The sequence below is a fragment of the Homo sapiens genome, chromosome 7, assembly GCF_000001405.40.
Source record: "Homo sapiens chromosome 7, GRCh38.p14 Primary Assembly".
NCBI lineage: Eukaryota > Metazoa > Chordata > Mammalia > Primates > Hominidae > Homo > Homo sapiens.
In genome coordinates, this window is record NC_000007.14 from 134,138,472 (window position 1) to 134,164,256 (window position 25,785).

The 25,785-nt window shown below is 38.1% G+C and overlaps 1 protein-coding gene across 12 annotated transcripts in view, besides 1 other annotated feature; it reads left to right on the plus strand.

The window, feature by feature from the left end:
• The window catches only part of LRGUK (leucine rich repeats and guanylate kinase domain containing), a 149,346-nt gene that overhangs the window by 11,132 nt on the left and 112,429 nt on the right, over positions 1-25,785 (plus strand). For 9 of the 12 annotated variants that reach the window (XR_002956408.2, NR_174939.1, XM_024446659.2 and 6 more), the window contains exons 3-7: positions 965-1,046; positions 4,591-4,691; positions 9,767-9,848; positions 19,564-19,688; positions 24,926-25,069. Coding sequence is in view for 10 of the 12 variants with exons in the window: in XM_024446659.2 (XP_024302427.1) it covers positions 965-1,046; positions 4,591-4,691; positions 9,767-9,848; positions 19,564-19,688; positions 24,926-25,069 (534 nt within the window). In the remaining 2 variants the exon portion in view is untranslated. The remainder of the gene's footprint in view (positions 1-964; positions 1,047-4,590; positions 4,692-9,766; positions 9,849-19,563; positions 19,689-24,925; positions 25,070-25,785) is intronic. The other 3 variants (XM_047419890.1, XM_024446658.2, XM_047419889.1) reach the window with 1 other exon arrangement.
• Positions 2,873-2,942: a silencer, noted in NCBI's record as "silent region_18670". NCBI's record gives its function as "represses an Ori minimal core promoter by ATAC-STARR-seq in GM12878 lymphoblastoid cells {active_cell/tissue: GM12878}" and the evidence as "EXISTENCE:reporter gene assay evidence [ECO:0000049][PMID:35858748]".

The following is a 25,785-nucleotide window of genomic DNA, read 5'->3' on the forward strand; positions in this document are numbered from 1 at the left end:
ATATCTTCTCTCCTACCAAAGTCATAAGTTTCTTAAGGGCACAATATAGCTCTCTTCCATCATTGCATTTCTCATCATGCCAAGCACAATGCCTTGTAAATAGTAAATATTCAGTAAGTGTTTATTTATTATTACTGTTCTAGCGGCCTTCATTAAACAATCACCATTATTCTATATGAGAACGTGCTTATAATGACTCTTCATTGGTTTGCTTGTTTTCTGACTCCGCCATCACGACATAAAACAATCATAGAAGTCTTTGTTCCACTCAACCAAATTCCCCTCAACCTCATCTGAAGTTGACTAGAATCAAGATATCCTGGAAAGAATTTTGGACAAGGATTCAAGAGACTTAGATACTGCTTCTCTATAACTAACTTGCTGTGTGATTTCAGGCTGTTAACCTACCTCTCTGTACCTCACATCCCTCATCTCTAAATTGGGAATAAGCTGCCCTACAGATTTCACAGGTGTGTTTGATCAGATGAGATTATTGTGAAAGAGCTTTGAAAATGAAAAGGTGAAAGTGTAGGTAGTATTGTTATTAATGATTTCCTGATGAGGTGTGAATTCTCTTTAAAACTTCATTTAAATTCTAGACATTTTTTTCTTCTACTAGGTAAAGGCCTTGTCTTTATTGCTATTGTGTGATTTATTAAAAGAAAAAAAAGACTCTGTTCTAACGGTCTCCATGAACACTGCTTTAAATTGGCCTTTCATGTTGTATTTGTTTTTGCTAACAACACTAACGTTATTAAGCTATTATTTTCTTCAAAGGAAGGGCTTTTTTTTTATGGCATCTGTTTTGAGATCCTATTAGTAGCAGGCTTCAGATTTTGTTCTCTCTCTTCTTCTATACTTGTGAAAGAAATTCTGGATTTCTTTCCATCAAGAGTTATTGCAAGAAGGCTGAGTAGTAACCTGATAAAGCAACATTAAAGTCTTTTACCTTTTGTTTTCTCAGGGTTGTAATTTAATTGATGTTAGCATTCTCTGTGGATATGTTCATCTACAGAAGTTGGATCTTTCAGCGAATAAAATTGAAGGTATGTAATTGTCATTCTAGATTGATCACTGAATTATCTGAAAACTTAAACGTTGCAGTATGTAATATGGTTTAATAATGCCAGACTTGATATCACTAATTTGTGTATCAATTTACATATTGATCCTTTGCTTTCCATGTAAAAAAGGCACCGATAACTGCTGAGAGAGAAAAAGGCACAGATCTGCAATATGATGATGTGGCTGAGATGCAGTCAATGATATTTAAGACTAGGAGATGGAATGTTGGCTTTATTTTTTCCTTTTAAGAGATCGATCATTACTTCTTCAATACTCCCTGAATATTTAATGATTTCTTTTCTTTTCCTCTGTTACTCAGTGCAGATGAATTAGTCTTTTTTTTCTTTAACAGATTCTTTTCTTTATTTTGCTTTTGCATTTATATTTTATTACACTCTTTATTCTGCATTTTGAAAATCTTATTTTTAAAATTAAAAAAACATTTTTTTTGAGATGGAGTCTCACTCTGTTGCCCAGGCTGGAGTGCAGTGGCATGATCACAACTCACTGCAACCTCCGCCTCCTGGGTTCAAGTGATTATCCTGCCTCAGCCTCTGGAGTAGCTGGGACTACAGGCACGCACCACCACGACTGGCTAATTTTTTGTATTTCTAGTAGAGATAGGGTTTCGTCATGTTGGCCAGGATGGTCTGGAACTCCTGACTTCAAGTGATCTGCCCGCATCAGCCTCCCAAAGTGCTGGGATTACAGGTGTGAGCCACTGTGCCCGGGCCTACATTTTGCATTTTAAATCTGTTAGCTCTTTTACCCTTATTATTGAGCACCAGGGATTCACAAATACATATTTTTCATTCTTTTTTGCTGTCTTTATTTAGTTGATTCTTTCAACTCTAACTCCACAATTTGTAGTTTTATATAAGGTATTTGTTATGACACCTTGTTCACATTTAATGAAATTAGTCCTACCATTGTCAAATTTTCTTCAAAGCTTGATCCTTGTTTATAATTTTCTGATCTTATTTGAAGTTGACAGTGTATAATGTTTTTCTTTAGATTTCTAGGGAAGTGAGCAAATCATTACTTCTGACCTGCTTTCTTCACTGATAATCTTTCTGCTTGCTTCTTTTGCCTGCCTTTTTTATGACAAATAAATGTTGCTGATATGTCTTCTCTGTTTGATTCTGGGGTTTTTTTCCCCTTCTAGGACCCTAATAAAGTCCACTTTTTAACGATTAAGAAATATTCTAGCCCATTTTCATTCTTAAAATACTACTGTTTTTGAAAGACTTTCAATTAACTTTTTTCTAGTTTTCTAAAGCTTTATTATGGAAAATTACAAAGCACAAATAGAATATTGGAATGAATATTTGGGTTCAACAGTGATCAGCCCATCTATATACCTCCCTGCCCAGCTTCCCCAGGGTTATTTTAAAGCAAATCTTAGATGGTCATCTCATCAGAAGGCCTTTTCTAGTGTCTCTGGCAGGAGCACTTGGCCTACTCCATACCTCCGCGGTTGTTTCCATTTGCTGGGTAGGAAATCGCGGAGTGGTGGGGGCCTTGCCAATGCTCACTGCTGACAACAGGAGCAGGGAGCCCACAGTTACGCTCCAAGCCTTTCTCTTCAGCCCGATCAGTCCTCACTAACCTTGGATGGCACATTTCATTAGTTCGTCAACTGTTTGAAAGCCTCCTGTGTGTAAAGTACCGCATATGTTTCTTTTTGTGATGACAGTCTCACTGGTCTCCTGGTGCAGGCCAAACTTCAGACTGCATCCGAATCACCTGGAAGCCCTGATAACACAGATTTCTGGGCCCCACTCTCAGGGTTTCTGATTCGGTAGGTTTGGGGCGGGGCCTGGAAATTTGCATTTCGAATAAGCTCCTGGATGAGGCTGATGCTGCTGGTCCGGGACCACATGCCGAAAACCAGTGATGGAGACACGAGGAGCTCCTGCCCTCTGGTGGGCAAGGAGGTCACTGCACTGATAGGGACCACAGGCCAGCTCAAGTTCAATGTCCAGCAACCCAGACCAAGGACTTTTTTCTGTCTTGATATGAAAACACTGGCTATCTACAGTGTGTGAAATGCACTCACCATCTCTTTGTCTCTAGCTAAGTACTAGCTGCTGCTTCTGCTTCAAGAAGGATCTCCATTTACCTGCCCACAGAAAGATCATCTTTCAGGAGAGTCTGGTGGTCCCGTGAAGTTAGTAGAGTTGAGACCACTGCTGACAGACATGTAGCTGAGCTCAGCATGGACAAATCGATACCACTTGGAAAGCAATTACAGTTTCTCCTTAGGTTTCCTCGAAGAGTTCTTCCTTGATTTGCTGATTCATTTCCAACAAAGTGTTAATGTCTCAAAGTACTGTCTCTCCTGGAACTATTTACATTTAGTAAGGAAGGGCATGGTTTCGTCCAGAAAAATAACATAGAAATTGGGGGGAATTTTCTGGCTTCAGTGACTATTGAGAAGGGAAGATACCAGGAGGCCCCTTACATAGCATGTCCTACCCACCTCAGGGCAGGGCCCCAACTACTCCAGGCTGGCTTCCTTCCCCAGGTCTGCATGTGTCTGTGCCACTTGGAGAAAGGTAGAAGCACTTCGCTTGGCTTCGGGTGAGGAGGCTCCATTCTCCCACTAGAGGCCATCCCCAGGAGGTTGTAATAGCGCATACTATGATCTAGAATCTAGAACGAGGAGAGAGAGGGAAATGCTAGCATTGTTGCCATTTTTAGGCAGAGAAAGGACTTACTAGTAGAGACAGGGCCATAACCCTTACTGTGTGACCCTTCCTGATTCCTTCCCTAATTCATTCCCCTACCTCTGTGTCTGCTGTAAAGTCATAGAGAAAGGTAAAACAATAGTTCATATCTTTTATCTTTTATATGTAATTTCATTAGCACTATCCTTTATTAGCACAGTAGTTCTTTACTTAGTGTTCAAGATTCAAAGTGTGTGCTTGGGATAAAATGCAAAACTCGGATGTACGTTTGATCCAATCTGGAGTCAAAAATCAAATAACAGCAATGAGTTAAATCACTTCAAATAGTTAATGCGATCTAGTGGTAAGTCCAACTGAAACAAAATTTAATTTACAACAAAGAGAGTTTCCTAATTGTGGCATTTCCACTCTTTATGAAAAGATCTAATTTAGTTATTTAGGGGCTAATTATCAAGAGGATTATCTAAGGCTTTTGCTTTTCATCCTTTTCTCAAATGCTGGCAAGTTTTGTAGCATTTCATTGTTAGTGGCAGAGTGAGCGGGCATGCGGAAGAGGCCGCAGGGATTGGTTACTTGGCTGCCCCCAAAATAGGGCATACAAGGATTGGCCACCCCTGGGGAAGAGGATTAAATTATTGACTCCGAGAGTTTTCTACCTTTTTTTTGTATATTTCACATACTCCTGATTTTATTCCTTTCACTCATATGGAATAATTAAGATGTCTTTGCAACTGTTATAATTTTAAAATATTCTGATGTCATGTACACTGTTTTTAATGCCTTTGTCTTGTTATTTTATTGGCTTACCTTATTCTGTATCTGTTTCCCTCCGTAGATTTATCTTGTGTGAGTTGTATGCCTTATCTCCTAGAACTTAATGCTTCTCAAAATAATTTGACTACGTTCTTCAATTTCAAGCCACCCAAAAACCTCAAGGTAGACTTTATGAATACCTTAATTACACATTAAGGGGTTTGCAAAAGTGCATTAAATAAGCAAAATAGCACTCAAATAGAGAATTCAGAGAGAATAAGATACAGAGGTAAGCAATGTAAGTGTCTGAAATGAAATAAAAAAGAAGGCTTTGTGTATACTTTATTTTGGAAAAGGGAGCTGGTCTGTCAGTGGATAGGCTTTCTGGAAGCTTTGTTCAAACCTAGTGTTCAAACCAACGAACTTTCCTCTGGTCTCCTCTTTCCCTCATTTGAATAGTAGTTATTATTGCCCTTTTTTTGTTGTTATAGTGGAACAATTTTTTAAAAATATTACTTGGTACATTTTATTTATTTAAAGAAATGCATTTTATTGTGTATATTTCAGATGTACAGCATGATGTTATGGGACATATAGCGGAATAACTTATCTGAAAAATTTTATATCTGAATAATCTGTAAAAATGTCCTAGGCTCAAACTTTGCCCTTTTATTTATCTAACTTTACTTTTTAAGAAAATAATGCTTTCAGATCTCCATTCTTGCTTCTCCGCACTTGCTTTTGCATTTCTGAAGCAGAAATAAACTACCTGTGGACAGTGGTGGATGGAATAGTTTGCTATGCCCTAGAGCAGTGAGTCTGTTGCTTAAATGCATGCCCAAATCACCTGTGGTTCTTGTGAAAAGGGAATTCTGACCCATTAGGTCTGGGGTGGGGCCTGAGCCTGTGATTGCTAAAAACCTTCCTGATGATGTCATGCCACTGGTCCATCGGTCATACTTAAGTAGCAAGGTCAGAGAGAAGTGGTTCCCACACTCTTCTGCACATTGGAATCACCTGAGGGAGTTTTCAGACCTACTGATACCCAAATCCCACTGCAAGAGATTCTGATTTAAGTGGTCCAAGGTAAGGTGTGGGCTTTGGGCTTCTTATTTTCAGAGACAAGTTGGAGTGCAGTTGCGCATTCTTGTCTCACCACAACTTCAGCCTCCTGGGCTCAAGTGATCCTGTCGCCCAGGCTGGAGTGCAGTGGCGCAATCTTGTCTCACTCTCACCGCAACCTCCGACTCCTGGGCTCAAGTGGTCCTCTCACCTCAGCCTGAGTAGCTGGGACTACAGGCACGTGCCAAAACACCTGGCTAACTTTTTTGGTATTTTTTGTAGAGGCGGGGTTTCACCATGTAGCCCAGGCTGGTCTTGAACTCCTGGACTCAAATGATCCACCTGCCTCAGCCTCCCAAAGTGCTAGGATTACAGGTGTAAGCCACCACGCCTGGCCTGGACTTTTAAAGAGACCATCAGGTGGCTCTAATGTGCTGACAAATCTGGAAACGATCACCCTGGGTTTTGTGATTAGTGTTGTTGTATTGGACTCAAATATTTAATTAAAAAGTCATTTTAAGGAATGGACATCAACTATTGCCTTTTATTATCTATTAGTTTTATTTTATTTACAAACCAAATTAACTTAAATCCAAAATATTCTATGGAGAGTTGCACAAATATGAAAATCTGTTTGAAATCAAGAAACAGACATTCCCTTATACTGATGAGAGACCTTAATTTTCAATTTTTCTTCAGTTTTATATCATTCCCTTATCAATAGTGCATTTTTTCCCTTTGAAATTATAGTTTTTGCCAGGATGACATTCCTTTGTGCAAATAAGCCGCACTAGGTGCCTATCTGTACTCAGTGTGGGGCCGCATCGTCTTGAGGTTATCAGGAATTGAATTTGCAAAGCTGTTTTGATTCACCTTTTGCTGTTCCATTCGCCTTGTCTGAAGCCACAGGGCAGTCATTCATGGTAACAGCATGACCCCTACCCCAGGAAAAACTTTGGAGTTTCTCCCTTTCACACCCCTTCCTTGCACTCTCCCAGAAAGACCCTACAAATGAACAAAAACAGATCATGGACCCCATCTTTAAGGTTCTGAGCTCCTGGAGAATTACAAGCAAATATATTGGTCATTTTAGAGAAGTGTGTACCAAGTGCCAAGCTGTACCCTGAGGTGCTGCAAGCCACTGTGAGCTCTGTGTAGACCTGGGAAGGAATGATGGTGGCCTCCTGGTGTATGTTTTCTTTTCTTTTCTTTTCTTTTTTTTTAAGATGGAGTCTCATGCTTGTTGCCCAGGCTGGAGTGCAATAGCAAGATCTCGGCTCACCGCAACCTCTGCCTCCCAGGTTCAAGCAATTCTCCTGCCTCAGCCTCCCGAGTAGCTGGGATTATAGGCATAAGCCACTACACCTGGCTAATTTTGTACTTTTAGTAGAGACGGGGTTTCACCATGTTGACCAGGCTGGTCTGAAACTCCTGATCTCAGCTGATCTGCCCGCCTTGGCCTCCCAAAGTGCTGGGATTACAGGTGTGAGCTGCTGCGCCTGGCCTCAGGTGTTTTCAATGTATTATTTAATCCTCCCAGTAAAGCTGTGGGGCTGTCCTGATATTGTCCTGATACTGAAGCATGAAAGGTTAGGTAACTAACTTCACCTTTGCTGGGAGGCAGCGGAACTGGGATTGAACCCACTGTCTGAGACCCCATGGCCCACATCTTTCCAGTAAGTCAGGCTCATGTACTATGCTCCGCCATCTTGAGAAGCTCCACTTCCTTTTCATTTAATATCTATGAGCCTTGTACCACCAACCAGAGAGAACATGCATTTCCTAGAGCGGGGACTTGTATGTGCACTCTTTTTGTATTTATTAGAATGCTTTTGCTCTTACTAGGTGAAAAATGTTAATTTGACTTGATGGCTACTTTTTCCAAGCTCTAGGTTCCAATGGGAGTCCAAACAGTGGCACAAACCCCTTTAAGGTCTTTCAAGAAACCTGGCTGGGCACAGTGGCTGAGGCCTGTAATCCCAGCACTTTGGGAGGCTGACACGGGTGGATCACTTGAGGTCAGGGGTTCAAGACCAGCCATGGTCAACATGGTGAAACCCTGCCTCAACTAGAAATACAAAATTTAGCCTGGCATGATGGTGGGAGCCTATAGTCCCAGCTACTTGGGAGGCTGAGGCAGGAGAATCGCTTGAACTGGGAGGCAGAGGTTGCAGTGGGCCAAGACTGAGCCACTGCACTCCAGCCTGGGCGACAGAGTGAGACTCCATCTAAAAAAAAAAAAGAAACCTAATACCATAGCTACATAGAGAGCATAGTATTAGCGTTTGCCCTGACTGAGGTGTAGTTATACAGATGTCATACTATGGCACCAGAATGAAAGATGTTGATGAAAAAGTGTCAATAATAAGTAAGCCCTATCATGATAAGCTTATTCCTAGTTTATTATTATTCTATAGAAGAAAAAAGTGAATGTTAAACTCCATTTACATCATGCCAAACTGACTTATTTCATAGTATGCATTTTCCATAGCTCCCATTTGTATATGCATACATTTGGTGTTCTGATTTTTTTAATAACACTTTTATTTGTACATTTCTATTTCTTCATATAGTTTGCTAACTTGTATTTTACTAAGTAGTCCTGTTGCTTGCTGTATTGCAATTGACTTCATCAGTTTTCTACTCTTGCCATTGGAGTTGTTTCTAAATTAGTTTTTAGTATTTACTGTATAAAGTTTTTAGTACTTAAAGGGTTTAGTATTTAATGTGTTGCTAAAATAATCTCCATAAATTTGGGGGGTGAAATCACTATTTTAAAGGGCATGGAAAAATTAGAATAGTGCTTATTATGTAATTGCTTGATGGTTTTCCAGAAAATGATTATAATGTACCCAGCAAATTATGAATGCAGTGGTTCCAAAACTTGAGTTTTTCTTTCCTTAAAAAAACTTTTTTTGTTTATCTTTTGTCAGCAGGTGAATAATTAAAGTTATTTAATATTGTTTTTTAGTCTTACATGTTTGACTAGGAACAACAGAAGTTGCTGAAAAAGCTTTCCTACAGTAGTCAATTTTGAGAAAGAATGTAAAGTTGAAGAGGCATTGCCTGGAAATAAATAAGTAAGACTAGGCCGGGCGCAGTGGCTCACACCTATAATCCCAACACTTTGGGAGGCCGAGACGGGTGGATCAGGAGGTTGGTCAGGAGATCGAGACCATCCTGGCTAACACAGTGAAACCCTGTCTCTACTAAAAATACAAACAACAACAACAACAACAACAAAAAACCCGGGTGTGGTGGCACACGTCTATAGTCCCAGCTGCTCAGAAGGCTGAGGCAGGAGAATTGCTTGAACCTGTGAGGCAGAGGTTGCAGTGAGCTGAGATCATGCCACAGCACTTCAGCCTGAGCGACAGAGCGAGACTCCACCTCAAAAAAAAAAAAAAAAATTCTGGCATTTAGAGAGTAGCATGGGACAATATATGGAAATAGGAATAGAAAGGTAAAGGAACAGGAAACAAGATATGCACAGAAATGAAGTGAATACAGGTTACTGGGCAGTAGAGAAAATGAAATGGTTGTGGGTAAGGATGAAATTGAGGTAAATCCTGAAGGAAGACCAAGGAAATTTAAAATAAATGCTAAAAGTGGAGAGCGTGGCTGCAGGAATTGAAAGCATTTAGGTTATTGGGAGGTTCCTGTGCACCATGGGGAAGAGGCCTTCTTACTATCCCTCAAAGTGGACAGAAAAGGATCCCAGTTAGAAAATGATTAAATGATCGGGTGTGGTGGCTCATGCCTGTAATCCCAGCACTTTGGGAGGCTGAGGCGGGTGGATCATGAGGTCAGGAGATCGAGACCATCCTGGCTAACACAGTGGAACCCCATCTCTACTAAAAATACAAAAAAATTAGCCAGTTGCGGTGGTGGGCACCTATAATCCCAGCTACTGGGGAGGCTGAGGCAGGAGAATCATTTGAATCCGGGAGGTGGAGGTTGCAGTGAGCTGAGATCACACCACTGCACTCCAGCCTGGACGACAGAGCAAGACTCCTTTTCAAAAAAAAAAAAAAAAAAAGATTAAAGACAGATGATTCTTTTAGCCTTAGTGTGTACTTTCAGTAATGAATTCTAACTCTACATTCAAAAATACCTTCTTCTTGCACAGTTAATTATTGTGGCAAACATGAAAAATGAAATATTAATATAACATCTTGTTCTCTTTCTCTTGCCAGAAGGCGGATTTTTCCCACAACCAAATTTCTGAAATTTGTGATTTGTCAGCGTATCATGCTCTCACTAAACTAATTTTGGATGGTATCCTTTGAATAAGTAAAGGGGAAAATTTTAAAAACAATATAAAAATTAAAGACTACATATTCAAGAATTGTATTAGATTACATGGACTAGTACCAGATAAGCAATTTAATAGAGACGTGACTTATTTAAAGGACTAGGAATTGGTATTCACAAAATGAGGATAAATATTTTATTTACCAAGAAATGAAACTGTGAGTCAAAGCTTGTCAAGAGTATCTTACCCTTGAAAAGCCAAGTAAGATAGTCATTTTTCCGATAAATGTAGGCTTATTCTTATTCTAGAACCAGAGAAGAAGTTCTGTTGTAATTAACTCCTTTCTCAGTCGGGTGCGTTGGCTCACACCTGTAATCCTAGCACTTTGGGAGGCCAAGGCAGGTGGATCACCTGAGGTCGGAGTTCAAGACCAGCCTGGCCAACATGGCGGAAACCCTGCCTCTACTAAAAATACAAAAATTAGCCAGATGTGATGGGATGTGCCTGTAATCCCAGACTGAGGCACGAGAATTGCTTGAACCAGGGAAGTGGAGGTTGTAGTGAGCCAAGATTGTGCCACTGCACTCCAGCCTGGGTAACAGAGTGAGACTCTGTCTCAAAAAAAAAAAAAATTAACTCCTTTCTTCAAATTTGCTGAAACTTGTGTCCTATTTTATATAAATTCAGTATTTGAAAATCTAGATATGGTCATAAGGAAAATTAGTGATTCTTTATTTTGCAAAAGAGTTCATGATAAGTTCTTTTTAAATAGTAAGCTTTTCTAGTGTATTTTAAATATGCTTTCTTTTTTTAAAAAAAAAAAAAAACAACTTTTGATTTGATTTGCAACATAGCTATTTCATGAGCCAGGCTCCCATGCAAGCAGAGCACCTCCTTTAAAGACAGCGAGCTCCAACTTCTAGAGCCTAAGGGGCTAATTGGAGATCTGTGAGTTTAATGAGCTTGAGTCTCTTCTTCACACCAGAGACTGATGTTTTCTGGGTAGCAGGGGAGCCAGTACCTTCTTTTTCTCAGTAAGTATCTTTCTAGTCACCTGAGGATTTTGGGAGACAGAATGGAGAATGAATTGATTGCCTTGGGTGCCTCATTCAGGGATGTGACAGCAGCTAGTACACACTGCATTTGTGATAAGGCTGATACGAGGGACAACAGAGGGTACGTTTTCTTGAAGATGTATCTTGTAAAAGAAAAAAATCCTTTATTTATATATGATGGAAAGCTTGGAACATAGCACCACTCCCTTTAGAACTTGTGTGTGAAAATGAGCAATTAGTGGACATTTAGATGGTGCTTAAATGAGCAAGTTTTCCTGATTATAGCCTAACAGAGAAATCAGAAAGTGACCAATATAACATGTTTTGTTGACAAACTAAAAGCATACACATTAGCAGCATATCTCTGTAGAACCTTCACTTCATGCTTGACTATCATGTATTTTGAGTTTGCAAAGAAATAGCTGGACAGTCCAGAAGCTATCTGGCTCAGACATCCATTTATCTCAGGCTGTGTAGAGTGCTACACAGGAAGACCACAGCAGCAGCATCACCTGGAACTTCATAGAAATGCAGATTCTTGGGCTCCATTGCAGACCTAAGAAATCAGAATCTGCATTTTAATAAGACCCCCCCAAAGCAATTTGAGTGCACATTAAAGCTTAAGAAACACTGGTTGGTCTAGGCCGGGCGTGGTGGCTTATGCCTGTGATCCCAGCACTTTGGGAGGCCAAGGCGGGCAGATCACGAGGTCAAGAGATTGAGAACATCCTGGCTAACATGGTGAAACCCCGTCTCTACTAAAAATACAAAAAATTAGCCAGGCGTGGTGGCGGGCACCTGTAGTCCCAGCTACTTGGGAGGCTGAGGCAGCAGAATGGCATGAACCCGGGAGGCAGAGCTTTCAGTGAGCCCAGATGGCGCCACTGCACTCCAGCCTGGGCTACAGAGCCCGAGACTCTGTCTCAAAAAACAAAAAAAACAAAAAAAAACAAAAAAAAAATTAGCTGGGCCTGATGGCACGTGCCTGTAGTCCCAGCTACTCAGGAGGCTGAGGCAAGAGAATTGCTTGAACCTGGGAGGTGGAGGTTGCAGTGAGCCGAGATTGCACCACTGCATTCTAGCCTGGCGACAGAGCGAGACTTCGTCTCAAAACAAAAACAAGCAAACAAAAAAAAAAAAAAAAGAAAAAGAAACAACACTGGTTTGTCTAGAAGTCAGCAGCCCCTAAACTCTTGCTAGCCAGAAAGAATTCAGCAATTAGGGTTCCCTGAATGCTGATGATGCCATGGCAGTCTGGAGTTTGTTATGGAGATCTCTTGTCCCCCAGAAAAACATTCTATGTTTTGGCATGAAATTGCCAAGGAAAACAACTCCACAGTATTTTGGACTCAAAACACAGTTGAAAACATTTCTATCAAGAGAGTCTTAATTTCTATATACATTTAGCTTTCCATGTAAAAACTAAAGTATCATGACTTTGTAAATGTCAGATATAATGAAAAAAGGAATTAGGGTTTTTTTTTTCTTGACATTAGATGTAGCAATTGAGTCATCACTAAAGTATAAAAAGCTGTAATTATTACATCAAAACCAATAGAAGTTTGGAACATGGGTATATAATTAGAGTGTAACATGGCACCATTTCTCACCTGTGTTTTAAAAAATTCAAAAACAATCATTCATCAACTATTAATGAAATAAACTTCTTAGATCTCTTGCAGTTTTGAAAAGATAGTAGGCTAGTTTTGAAACAGCATGAAATATACTTCTTTCTCTCCTGTTCTGTTTAAGCATATCATATTGTGCATGATACAGGTGGTGAAGTTTTACAAGCTTTTCTGGACAACAGAAAGCAAAAATATATCTAGATTATAAATTAATCTCTTGAGGAGAAGAAAAGCCACAAGGTTAGAGTGTTTTTGAAAATATTAAAACAGTTTGATTAAAAAGAGAATTTTAAAACAACTTTTATGCCAGTACAGTTGAAAACTTGGATGAAATACAAAAATTCCTAGAAAAATATTACACATCAGTTTGGAAATAGAAACCCTGAGTAGTCCTATAACTATAAAATTAATTTACTATAAATTAAAATAAGCTAAATTAAAAAATTAAAAATCTTTCTACCAAAAAAGCCTAGACCCCAAATTTTCAAAACAGACCTTCCAATAGTGAACAAATTCTTTCAAACACTCAAAACAGAAGGCATATTCACAATTCATTTTAATTAGGTTACTTTGATATCTAAGCCAGCCAAGGAGCACTAAGATAAAGGAAAACAACAGGCTTGTCTCACTCATGATGTAGCTGTAAAAGTCCTAAACAAAATATTAGCAACAGAATCTGACAGTGTATTAAAAAGACCATGTATTACCACCAAATTGGGTTTTTCTCAGGAATGTATGGAGAGTTTAATATTAGAAAATCTATAAACATAATTAACTACATTAATAGATTAAAGGGAGTAAACCTTGTGATCCAGAGATATAGAAACTCAACAGATATAGACAATTTAATAAAATCCAGCTCTCATTCACAATGAAAACTCTCAGTAAACTAGTAATAGGGAATTTCCACAAATTCATAGAGGATGTCTACAAAAATATTTGAAACACACTTTATCCTAATTGGGTACATGTTCTAAGCTTTCTCCTTTAAAATTGGGAATAAGTTAGGATGTCTGCCATTGCCACTTCAACCCATCATTATTTTGGAGGTCTTAGCCAACACCATAAAACAAGAGAAAGAAATTAAAGGTGTAAAGGTTAGTAAGGAGAACATAAAAGTCATTCTTTGCAAATGACATGTTTATCTATAGAGAATATTAAAAATTTGCTATAAAGTACTATAAATAATAGTTTTGAGAGTTCAACATGACCAGATACGACTTCAATAAATGGAAATCTGTTGCATTTCTGTATGCCAGAAACAAGCAATTAGAAAACAACTTTAAAAAGAAACACCATTTATAAAAACAGCAAAAACAAATTTTATTAAAGATGAATAAGACTTGTGGGGATAGGGGGACTAACAAAACTCTATTTAAGGGTGTTGAAGACCTAACTAAAGAGAAATATATCCCATGTCCCTGGATAAGAAGATGGGCAAAATAAAAGATGAGAAAAAGAATTTTATGGAAAATAAATCAGAGAAGGCAAATAAACATACGAAGAGATACCAGCCTCATTTGTATTCCAAGAAATGCAACTTAAGACCACATGAGATATTGTATTACATCCATTCAATTGACAAAATTTAAGAAATCTAAACATACCAAGTGTTGGAGAACTTGTAGATCCAGAAGATCTTTTTACCTTGTTTGTGGGTATGAAATTGGTTCAACCACCGTGGAAAACAATTTTATATTGTCATATAAAGTTGAGCATCCAAGTTCACCATGACCTAGTACTTTTATTCCTATATGTGGAAAGTTTAGTATATGTGTACCTGGAGCCTTGTATAAGAATGTTCATAGCAGTATTGCTTGTACTAGTAAAAAATTGAAACAGCCCAAACACACATTCATAAGAGAAAGCATAAGTTATGGTATAGTCACACAATAGCATATCATACAGTAGAGAAAATGAATGGAATATATCTACATGCATGTAAATATAATTTAGGCATAAAACTAAGGGAGGAAGGGAAGAAGAAAGAGACAACTGAGCATAGTTACTGTCTCTGGGAAGGAGACACAGGGTAGATTTAAGTTGTTAATTTTCTGCTGATTGGGCTGTGGGGGCACTAGTTTCAAGCATGCTCATTATATTTTTAAAAATAAATAAAATCAGTCAAGCATAGGTCAATGGTGAATCAAGTATTAAACTTAACCCAGCTCTATGTAAAAATTTAAAAACCTGAAAATTATAAATTAATTTCTTTGAAAATAATTATTTAAAATTAAAAAAATCAGTTGAGCTAGTAATACTGACAGTGTAATTGTAGTAGATTATATCTAATATCTCAGAATGAATTGTTAACTATAAGATACCAATTTTTTTATTTTGTTATGCTATTTTGTCTTTCCATATGTGGATAATTGATGATTAATTGATAATTATCCTAAATTGCAATACAATAAGCTTTGCCAAGTTTATGTAAATATACTTATTCTTAAGAAAGAGTACAGTTTATTCTTTACCTGTAAACATTGACTAGTTGTTTTTTAGAATTTATTTTATGATGATAGAATAATGGAATTGAAAAATTCATAGAAATTTAATTCCAGACAGAATTTTAGAGACCATCTAGTGCTAATCACTATTTTATTTTGTGGAAGAGGAACCTGAGACTCCAGAAGGGTCAACAACTTGCCCCAGATTATTTGGTAAATGGTTAAACTGAGACTTCTGAATTCCACTGTTTTTCCCATGTTGCAATTCATTGAGTAATTACAACTTTTGTCACAGAGGCATTTAAACTATGCGTGTTTCTTTTCTTGGAGAGATTTTCTCCTATAGTGAAGAGCATTTTTCACTGGTAAGGTGATACAGATCTTTCAGGATTGGTTTTGATTAAAGCCATCATTGCAGCTCTCTCCACTAAGAGAACTGTGGTGGATTTCCTACTATTTCTCAGTAACTGTTTGCTATACACTTGAACCATATTTTATGATTGTAGACAAACGAATAAGAGCAAATACTGAACTAGTGAATAATTCATGTCAAGCATTGTGAACTACTGTCAGCATCGTCAAAATGTAAAAATATGTTGTTGGGCTTTACCCCAGTTGTAAAGTTATGCTTAAGTGCCACAGGGTTCCTTCATTCAGTTTCCCCAAGGATCTACAATTTCACTTTAAAAGATTTATTCACAGAATCATAAAAGTTTAGAGCTGGAATGCGGTATGATGATTTTGAGTTCTTTTGAGTTTCTTTCTCCTGATACTGGTCTTTTAAAATTAAAATATACGTAAGAGGATTAACCCAGTAAGCTAATTCATTGTAATGTGTAGTGATTTATCAGATTATGTTTCTTCTTATCAGGAAGTCCCGAGACCTGTGAAAGAACACGAATAATGTTAGGAGGAAGGGCAAGTAACATTTTGTGAAGGTCCTTAAGAGAATGAGAGATTGGGGAGATAAAGATATTGAAGACCATCTATGAACTCAAAGCTCTCTATGGCCCAGGCCTGCATATTGACTGTTGGCAGTGCCACCAGGCCCACATGAGGTGACTGTGGGAGCAAGTAGAGGAAAAAGCTGTTGTATCACTGTAGAAAGTTCTCTTTACTCAGGAGCCTGATTAATTTAGAGTGTCTGAAATTCCTTGATATTTGAAGGAGAGTGAAAAGCTGAGAAACAGGAGGAAATAATTTTTCTGGAATGAGCATATTTCTCAACAGAGATGTTCAGGCAACTCCTGCTCCTTTGCCCTAGTGGTGTTAGTAACCGCAATGGTACCTGCAGAAACCATAGGTATGATTGCAGTGAGCATCTGAATTCCTCCTCCTTTCTGTCCTTGCAGTGCTGATTTCAGAACACGTGACTAGCTGTGGGATTCCAAGCTAGAGAGTAAGATGGATGTGCCAAGGGAACTGTGGTTAGCCTCTAATGTCTTAGAAAATTACTGTAGACACAATAAACAAGCTTTCCTTTTTGATTCCTGATATCTCTTGATAATTTCAGGATTCCTGTTTTCTAGTTTTCTGATCCTTGCCTGCTTCCCATGAGAATACTTCCTGAGGCAGATACCCACAAGCAGTGGTTTTATTCTGCCATGATTCAGAGTATCTTCATCTTGGTTGGGGTAGAGCTACCAGGACACTTTAGTACTCCTAAAATAGGACTTAAACATGATTTCTGTCTCTGCTAAACTGAGACAGATGGCCATTCGAAGTTTTCCTTGCATAGTTTTTGTTGCCAAAGATTGCCTGCTCCAAGGGTATTTTATTTCATCCATACCTGAGTGAGATAGTTTAATCTCCTATTTCTTATGTTTCATATTCATATTTTGTTACAATCCGTATCTACAAAGATCTGGTCTTTGTTCTAGTTCCAGAACAATTATTTAAGCAGCCCAAAGAAAGTAGAACCAGAAAGGATAGTATTAGTGAGCATAAACATCTGTTTGTAGGGCTATTCTGGCAGGAAGCTTTATGAAAACAGATTTGAAAATGCATATTGACCACAAACAGAGCTATACTTCAGTCTAAGGATTGAAACTGAAACCATTGAGGAAAACCCAAGAATTTCTGGTACATTTTACATTTTTGTCTAGTTTCCTTATTTACCTCTTTCTCTGGCGTAGGTATTTTCAGGCTTAATCCCAGCCTTGAATTTTCCATTTCTGTGCTATTGACCAAGAGGTAGAGGACGTGCTTCCTTGGCCTCATGTAATATAATTTGGTAATGGTATCAATGCTTTATAATTGTGAGGTGATTTATGGTTTGTTGCTCATTCATACCCATTTTCTAATTTTTTTCCCATGACCTAACTTTTGGCCTTAATGGCCACCTGATATTATCCCCACTTTAAATGAAAAATCTACTAAGTAGTAAAGTTGGGATAATTACAAATAATTATGGAGGCAAAATGTTTTTGTGATATTTATGACTTCTTCCTTCTTGCTTAAAAAAATTGTTTGTTTCTCTGATTAACGGAAGGAGATAGCTGGAGATTAGAAGATGACCAGGAGAGGCTTTGAGGAAGAAATGGTTTGTCTAGAATACATACTAAGAAATGGAATGGCTGTGACATATTTACAGTTATGATAGACATTGCAAAATTGCCTCTAAAGTGGCTATATCATAATGAACTCTCTCAGTAGTATAAAAGTATCTGTTATTCAAAACCTTTTACTTTAAAGTGTTTGCCAAGCTGATGGGTAAAGAATGGCAGTTTATCTTAATTTGCATTCTCCTGACTACAGGTGAGACAGAACGTCTTTTCATGTGTTTATTAGCCACTTAGATTCACTCTTTCGGAAATTGCCTGGGCATATTCGTTGTCCGTTTTTTATTAGGTTGTTTTTTTTTCTATTGATTTATTGTCATTTTTAATGTATTCTAGGTAGAATCTTTTGTCTGCTAGTATATATTGTGAATATGGTCTCCTAGCCTATCATTTTCACTTATTTGTGTATTTAAAAAGTAATAGTAAGAAAATAAGTGTTATATGTCAAAAAGAAATACTTAAGATATTGATTTAATGTGAGTGTTAAAAAAATAAGAAAAAAGTGGGATTTGGAGTTATCTTGAAGAATGGGTATGGTTTAGAAAGGAGCAAGAAAAAGAAAGTTCTTGGTACATTCCAGAACTATTGTGAAATTGACCTGGCAGAAATAGGGAATTCTCATTGGATGATGATGTGGATGAAACTGGATAAATAAGTTTTGTTTATAGTGAAGGGCCTTAGATGGCAGAGTGAGGAATCTGGAATTCTATGAGAATTTTTTAATTGAAACATGATATTCAATCAATATTTAAAAAAAATTAATCTGCCTACAGTGTGTAGAGTGACTTTAGGGCAGAAAGTAATGGATATTTGTGTAACTATTGATGTTAAAGGTGAGTTAAGTTGGCAGAGGAATGAATAAAAAGGAAAGAAATCATTAAAGAGATATTTTAAGGCAAAAAAATGGCAGGTCTTGGTGATTGGATGCCTCACAGATTATGAGTGGCTGAGAAATGGAGATGTCATGGGTTACTTGAGAGGAAAAACTGAGCTTTGATGGGGAAATGACATTAAATCCTGGAAATTGGTCAAAGAGATTGAGAACAGAGAGAGCTGAACAGAATTATGACTTTGAAATTGTAGTGTTAGGTGACTACAAGATGGAACACAGAAGGTAAGCTAAAATTTTCACAATAAATGGAATTTAACGGATGAAGAAAGTAAGGCAGAGTTTAAGCCTCATTGATTTTATGATTGAATGATTTTATGACCTCATTGATTGAATGGAGGTCAATGTAGACGGAAAGAAAGGGCTGTTCCTTTCTCTAACAGGGTATTGGTCTTTGGACCACCCATTTGCTGCAGATGACATCTCCCAGGCTCTTAGCCCAGTTATGAGGATGATAATGCATGGTGCATGTTGCCCCTGCAGGGTGATCTGGTAGTCAGAAGTTCTGCCTGTGGGAACACACATGAGTTTCTCATGGAGACTTAACTGATCGAGGGAAAACACACTGCCAATGAGGCAGCTATGAGCCACGGTGATTTTTCTTTCCGTACTGATTAAATGAGTCAGATACAATCCAGCACACTCAAAAGCTATGCGTTTTTTTGAGACGGAGTCTTGCTCTGTCGCCCAGGCTGGAGTGCAGTGGCGCGATCTCTGCTCATTGCAAGCTCCGCCTCCCGGGTTCACGCCGTTATCCTGCCTCAGCCTCCCGAGTAGCTGGGACTACAGGCACCCACCACCACGCCCGGCTAATTTTTTTGTATTTTTAGTAGAGACGGGGTTTCACCGTGTTAGCCAGGATGGTCTCGATCTCCTGACCTCATGATGTGCCCACCTCGGCCTCCCAAAGTGCTGAGATTACAGGCGTGAGCCACCGCACCCAGCCACTATGCCTTTTTAAAATAAAAATTGTATAAAATATGACATGTTCTGTATGAAAAAATATATTTCAGGATTAATACTCATCCTATATTGGGCATATAATCGTTCTTTATTTAAGCTGTGGTCTGCTTTGTCTAGTGATGATTTAACACTGATTCTTTTTTTCTTCCAAATGCTTTTAATAACATTTTCCTTAAACGTAGTCATGGTGTATAGGCAATGAGATAGAAGAAATCAGTGGACTAGAGATGTGCAACAACCTAATTCACCTTAGTTTGGCCAACAATAAGATCACGACAATTAATGGCTTAAACAAGTTACCAATCAAAATACTTTGTCTGGTGAGTCTAACAAAATGCTGTTCTTTATAGAAGTAGTAGTTAATGCTTTTAGTAACTACATGAATTATGACTACTTAGGATTCAAATATATAAAGAGAAAATTCCTTCATGAAATGTTATTGTCTTCAGTTTTGTTTGCTCCTTTCTTTACCATTTGTGTGTGTGTGTGGTTGTGAGAGAGAGAGAGAAAGAAAGCAATATTTCATGCTAAAGTAAAATGATTTGCTAATTTGTTATCCAAATTCAGTATTTTAAATGATCAGCTTTTTTATACTGGGAAAGAAAGGTATACTTTTAGTATGTATTTAAAAATATTTTTTATAGTATCTTATTGGTGAAAATAACATTTAAGGATACTTAAGCATAATATTTATTGCTGTTAACACTTTAACTGCTTTCAAATGAACCACAAGATGTTTTCTGGGCACTGAATTTTGACAGTCCTTTTATTTTAACATGTGTTAGTCAGTCTTCCACTATAGAAAATCAAAAATAGTGCTAAGAATAAATGAACAATTCCAATCAGAAAGTTTAAATTTGATTATTTTTCCCACAGAGAGCACTCTTTCGAAGCTGTGTGACCTGCTGTGTGACTATGACTCAATTTACAGAAATTCAGCAGGATTCTAATAGTCCCAAAGATATACACAGTATTTTTGAAATAACAGGATAGCTCCCTAACTTGGGGGTCTACAGTATTGACTGTGAAATATCCAGGATTCTTTCTTCTCCTTTCTCCTACTTCTTACCCTCTTGGATGGTTTTGCTGTTCTTCATTACATCTATCATGGGGTCAGCAGGCGGGATTTCAAGCCATGAGGCTTGTAGCTTGTAAATTTCTTACAAGAACTATCCCACAGGGGGTTGTTGAAACTGTTGCTTGAAATGACATCTTGGGCCATGCACTGCAACTCATGCCTGTAATCGCAGCACTTTGGGAGGCTGAGGTGGGAGGATCACTTGAGTCCAGGAGTTCGAGACCAGCCTGGGCAAATAGCCAGACACTGTCTCTACAAAAAATAAAAAATTTGCTGGGCATGGTGGCACAAGCCTGTAGTCCCAGCTACTTAGGAGGGCTGAAGTGGGAGAATCACTTGAGCCCAGGAGGTCAAGGCTGCAGTGAGTCACGATCATGTCACTGCACTGCAGCCTGGGCAACAGAGTAAGACCCTGCCTCAAAAAAAAAAAAAAAAAAGGAAAGAAATGACATCTTGGATTATCTGCTGATTTTTGACATATACAATATACTATTTCTGTCTTATTTAACCATAGATCACTGAAGATTGGCTATGTGTTAGTTTTTCTTTCCCTTAGCTTAGAGCTCGAAGTGCTTTCTTAAAACTCTTCCAGGCTGGGCGTGGTGGCTTGCGCCTGTAATCCCAGCACTTTGGGAGGCTAAGGCGGGTGGATCATGAGGTCAGGAGTTCAAGACCAGCCTGGCCAAGATGGTGAAACTCCGTCTCTACTAAAAATACAAAAATTAGCTAGGCGCGGTGGTGGTCCCCTGTCATCCCAGCTACTCGGGAGGCTGAGGCAGGAGAATTGCTTAAACTCAGGAGGCGGAGGTTGCAGTGAGCCGAGATCGTGCCACTGAACTCCAGTCTGGGTGACAGAGCAAGACTCCGTCTCAAAAAAACAAAACAAACAAAAAAACATCAACCAAACCTCTTCCATTCCTGCAGTGAGTTAGGTCAGGATAAAGTATTGGCATCCCAGTACTGAGGATGAACCTGAGGGTTTGATAATTTTCCTGATCTTTCATGTTTTCCGCCCATGAAGGCATGTGAGCAAAACATAAATGAAAATGCATTCAATAAATTAGATTGAAAATGTTTAAGTTAGAAAAGAAAGTCAACTTTTAAAATTTACGACAATCTGAAGGATTTTTAGCAGCATGTGTGCTTCATTTTGTGGTCTGTTAGAATCTTGTTCTTTTCTTTACATGTCTTCTCTGTATTGATGTTCCCATTCATTTAAAGTGGAGCATGGTAAACAGACAAAGATATAGGGGTGTGCTTAAGGGAATGAGAATGAACTCATTATTAAGAATTATAATACGTAGCATTTTCATCCTAAGAGTGTGTTTCAATTACAAAATAAATAATCCATGTTGATAGTTCTGTCTCAAGTAGCTTTTAGAAAAAGGATAGAATACTTCTATTTTCTTAGATTTGGTGGATTGTTCCCAATCTCTGCCCTCATCACCCAAGATCAACTAGAATACACAGAATATACTGTCATTCATTTTTCTTAATTTTTTGATAATAGAAAGGTTTTCTTTTCCAAAGTTTAATAAAATCTATAAAATTTGTTTCAATAGTTTTTAATGCTTTTATTTTTAATTCATGGAATCAAGAAACCAGTAGCTTTAGTTACTATTGAAAATAATTTACATTACAATTTAGAGAAAGAAGAACAATTCACCATATGAACCAACTGTTAATTCTCGAATGTCAACTTTTATGATAAATATAAGGGGAAAATGTGGTTCACTAATGGGCTGTTCTGTCATCCAGCTTCTTAGCAAGTAATGACAATGCATTCCAAACTTTAAAATTCATTTCGTCACAGTAAATGCTGCTTGTTTTTTTCTTCCAAAATTGGTTGGTTGAGAATGTTTCTAATTTCATTTATTCAAGAAAGTGGCTTTATTCTAAAAGTCTTTTCCCAACTAATCATTATGAAACAAGCAGGAAGAAGCTTGTTTGTTTCAGAAGCTGGATGTCCACTTTTAGGAGAGATACATTGGTTTTTCAGCATTGGATGAAGAGTTTAACTAGATAGCTTTCAATTCAGAAATTCTGTGATTCTAAATTTTTTTTCAGTTGTGGTTTCTTTTATGACATGACAGTAGGCTATCTAATTAAACTTGTCTATGCCTCACTATTCTCATGTCATCTACCACTTTGAAAGCCATTAGAGATACTGTCGGAAGCATTACAGTCTATCTACCACACCTAAGGGACTTCAAAATTCTGTGGGAAGAAGTGTATTAAGAAGAATTACAGTCTATCTACCACATCTAAAGCATTTCAGAGTTCTTTAGAAAGAAATATATTGTATATAAATTTGATATGTGGGGATATTTTGAATAGGCTATTGGGGTCTTATTGCAGTATGTTAAATTAATATGGATATGACATTAAGTTTGGTGTAGTTTTTTTTCTTTCCCTTTTCTATTATGCTTTATATAACTTTTTTGAACTCTGGACAGAAGGAAATTTGACTTTACTTTGGCAAATGGATTATGGGTATTTTTTTCTATTTATTATGATATTTTTCAAACATATATAAAAATAAGAAGAATACTATGATAAACCCTTGTGTGCTATCACTTAGCTTTGTAGATTATCGGCATTCTATTAACATGTTTTTAAAAGCCATATAATTATATTAATGAACACAAATCTTGCTCATTATTGAAATGAAATTTTATTTTAAAAATAGGAAGAAAATGAGCTCTTGCTATGAAATGTACCAGAAAACGTGTACCAGGGAAAATATAGAGGGAAGAAAATTATTGTTATTCTTTTTTTTTTTTTTTTTTTTGAGACGGAGTCTCGCTCTGTTGCCCAGGCTGGAGTGCAGTGGCACGATCTGGGCTCACTACAAGCTCCGCCTCCCGGATTCACGCCATTCTCCTGCCTCAGCATCCCAAGTAGCTGGGACTACAGGCACCCGCCACCACGCCTGGCTAATTTTTTGTATTTTTTTAGTAGAGACGGAGTTTCACCATGTTAGCCAGGATGGTCTCGATCTCCTGACCTCGTGATCCGCCTGCCGCAGCCTCCCAAAGTGCTGGGATTACAGGCCCGGCCAAGAATAATTGTTATTCTTATTTGTTGTTATGGGTATATGGAGATTGAGGAAGAAGACAACATTTCAGTCTTAAATCTTCGTTTTATTCTGATTATTGAGGAAGATGCTTTTGTGTGAATTATTGAAAAACTTGGTTTGGTTATCTACTGTTGCATAACAAGCCACCCCAGTTGTAGTGACTTGGAGAAATAACCATCCTATTAACTAACAATTCTGCAATCTGAGCCAGGCTCAGCTGGGAGGTTCTTCCACTGGGCTTGCTGCATTTAGCCGGCATCTTAGTTGGGGGCTTGGCTCAGTTGAGAGGCTGGGATGGCAAGGTTTTTCTCTCTATTTAGTGTCAGGGTGTCTCCCCATGTGACATTTCCTTTTCCATATAACCTCTCCACAAGTTCTCTCCAACACAGTAGCTGCAGTTCTTATGTGGTAGCTCAGTACTTCTGAGACACAAAAGCAGAAGCTGTCAGGCCTTCTTAAGTCTTAGGCTGGGAACTGGCACACTTCTACCATATTCTTTGGTGAAGCTAATTCATAGGTCCAGCCTAGGTTTAAGAGGAGGGGACCACGGCCAGGTGCAGTGGCTCACGCCAGTGATCCCAGCACTTTGGGAGGCCGAGGTGGGTTGATCACTTGAGGTTAGGAGTTTAAGACCAGCCTGGCCAACATGATGAAACCCCATCTCTACTAAAAATACAAAAATTAGCCAGGCATGGTGGTGCGTGCCTGTAGTCCCAGGTACTTGGGAGGCTGAGGCAGGAGAATCACTTGAACCCCAGAGGTGGAGGTTGCAGTGAGCCGAGGTCGTGCCACTGCACTCCAGCCTGGGCTACAAAGCCAGACTCCTTCTCAAAAAAAAAAAAAAAAAAAAAAAAAGAGTGGACAGAACTGCCCAAGGGCAGGAATAACTGGGGGCATGGCTCATTGGAGAATGCTAATATAACAGACTACTAGCACCCTCACCACATGAGTGATTACATTTAGGGTGTTTCTGAAAACAAAATGTATGTGGGGATTATAATAGTCAAGTGGCTTCTTGTGATGATGATGAAAGAGTTACATTAAATTTATGTTTCTAGTGATATATCTGGAGTTATGCTGTCATTACACTTCAGGTGTGCAATGTTAAAACCTTATATTACCTGCCTTTTTCTTTCTTACTGATTTGAATACTCATCTTGCTTTAACTTTAATGAAAATATTATATTCTGAATTTTCCACCTGGAAAACTGGAACTTCTTTCTGGGGTATGTGTAGGTGTTTAGAGAGGTGAATGATGGAAATGGGATGGAGGGAAGGACAAGAATGCCTTCTTGATTTTTTTTAGAGAGATTTGGGTCAGTATCCCAAATGAAAACTTGCCATTACAACTTTTCCTTGAGAGGTCTTTGAGACATTAAATATATTTTTTTCTGTTTTAGAGCAATAACCAGATTGAGATGATCACAGGTTTGGAGGATCTGAAAGCCCTGCAGAACCTGGATCTGTCCCACAATCAGATAAGCAGCCTCCAAGGCTTAGAGAATCATGACCTCCTGGAAGTGATCAACCTGGAGGATAATAAGGTAGTGTTGCACTTCACATGTCTTGGTTTCAGTGTTGACATAAGAGGACATATTAGAGACTTAGCACACACCCTTCATTTTTGGTTTCTTAAGGGCGGACACATTAAATGTCAGCTTAGAAATATTGTTCTAGCAAAATTCCTGGAGTAGTTGCAGAAGGGTTGTTTTTAAAAATACTTACAATCTTAATTATTGAAAATGTGATGATTCCTAATTACATTGTTTTTAAGGTTTAAACTGCAACCACGTGTGGATGATTTTCTAAAGTATACATGTTCATTCAAAATTTTGTGTAGAAAGATGGCAGTAGGAATGTCTGAAATATCAGAGTAAGGAGGTTGGAGATATAAGAATAGCCATTGGCTGGTGTTGCTCCATATCTGCCATTTAAAGAAAAGTCTAGGGCCATGATGGGGGGAGTGTTGGGAAGATGTTGGTCAAAGGATACAACATTTTGGTTACATAAGGAGTTTGTTTCAGAGATAGATTGTATAACATGGCGATTATCGTTAATAAAAATATATTGTGTTTTTCCATGCTGAGAGAGTAGATTTTAAACATTTTTACCGCAAAAATGATTACTTTGTGATGTAACACATTTCTTAAATAGCTAGATTTAGCCATCCTACAATGTAACATGATGATTTGATGAATTTCAAGTCATGATGTTGTACACAGTAAGTACATATAATTTTATCTGTCAGTTTAAAAATATT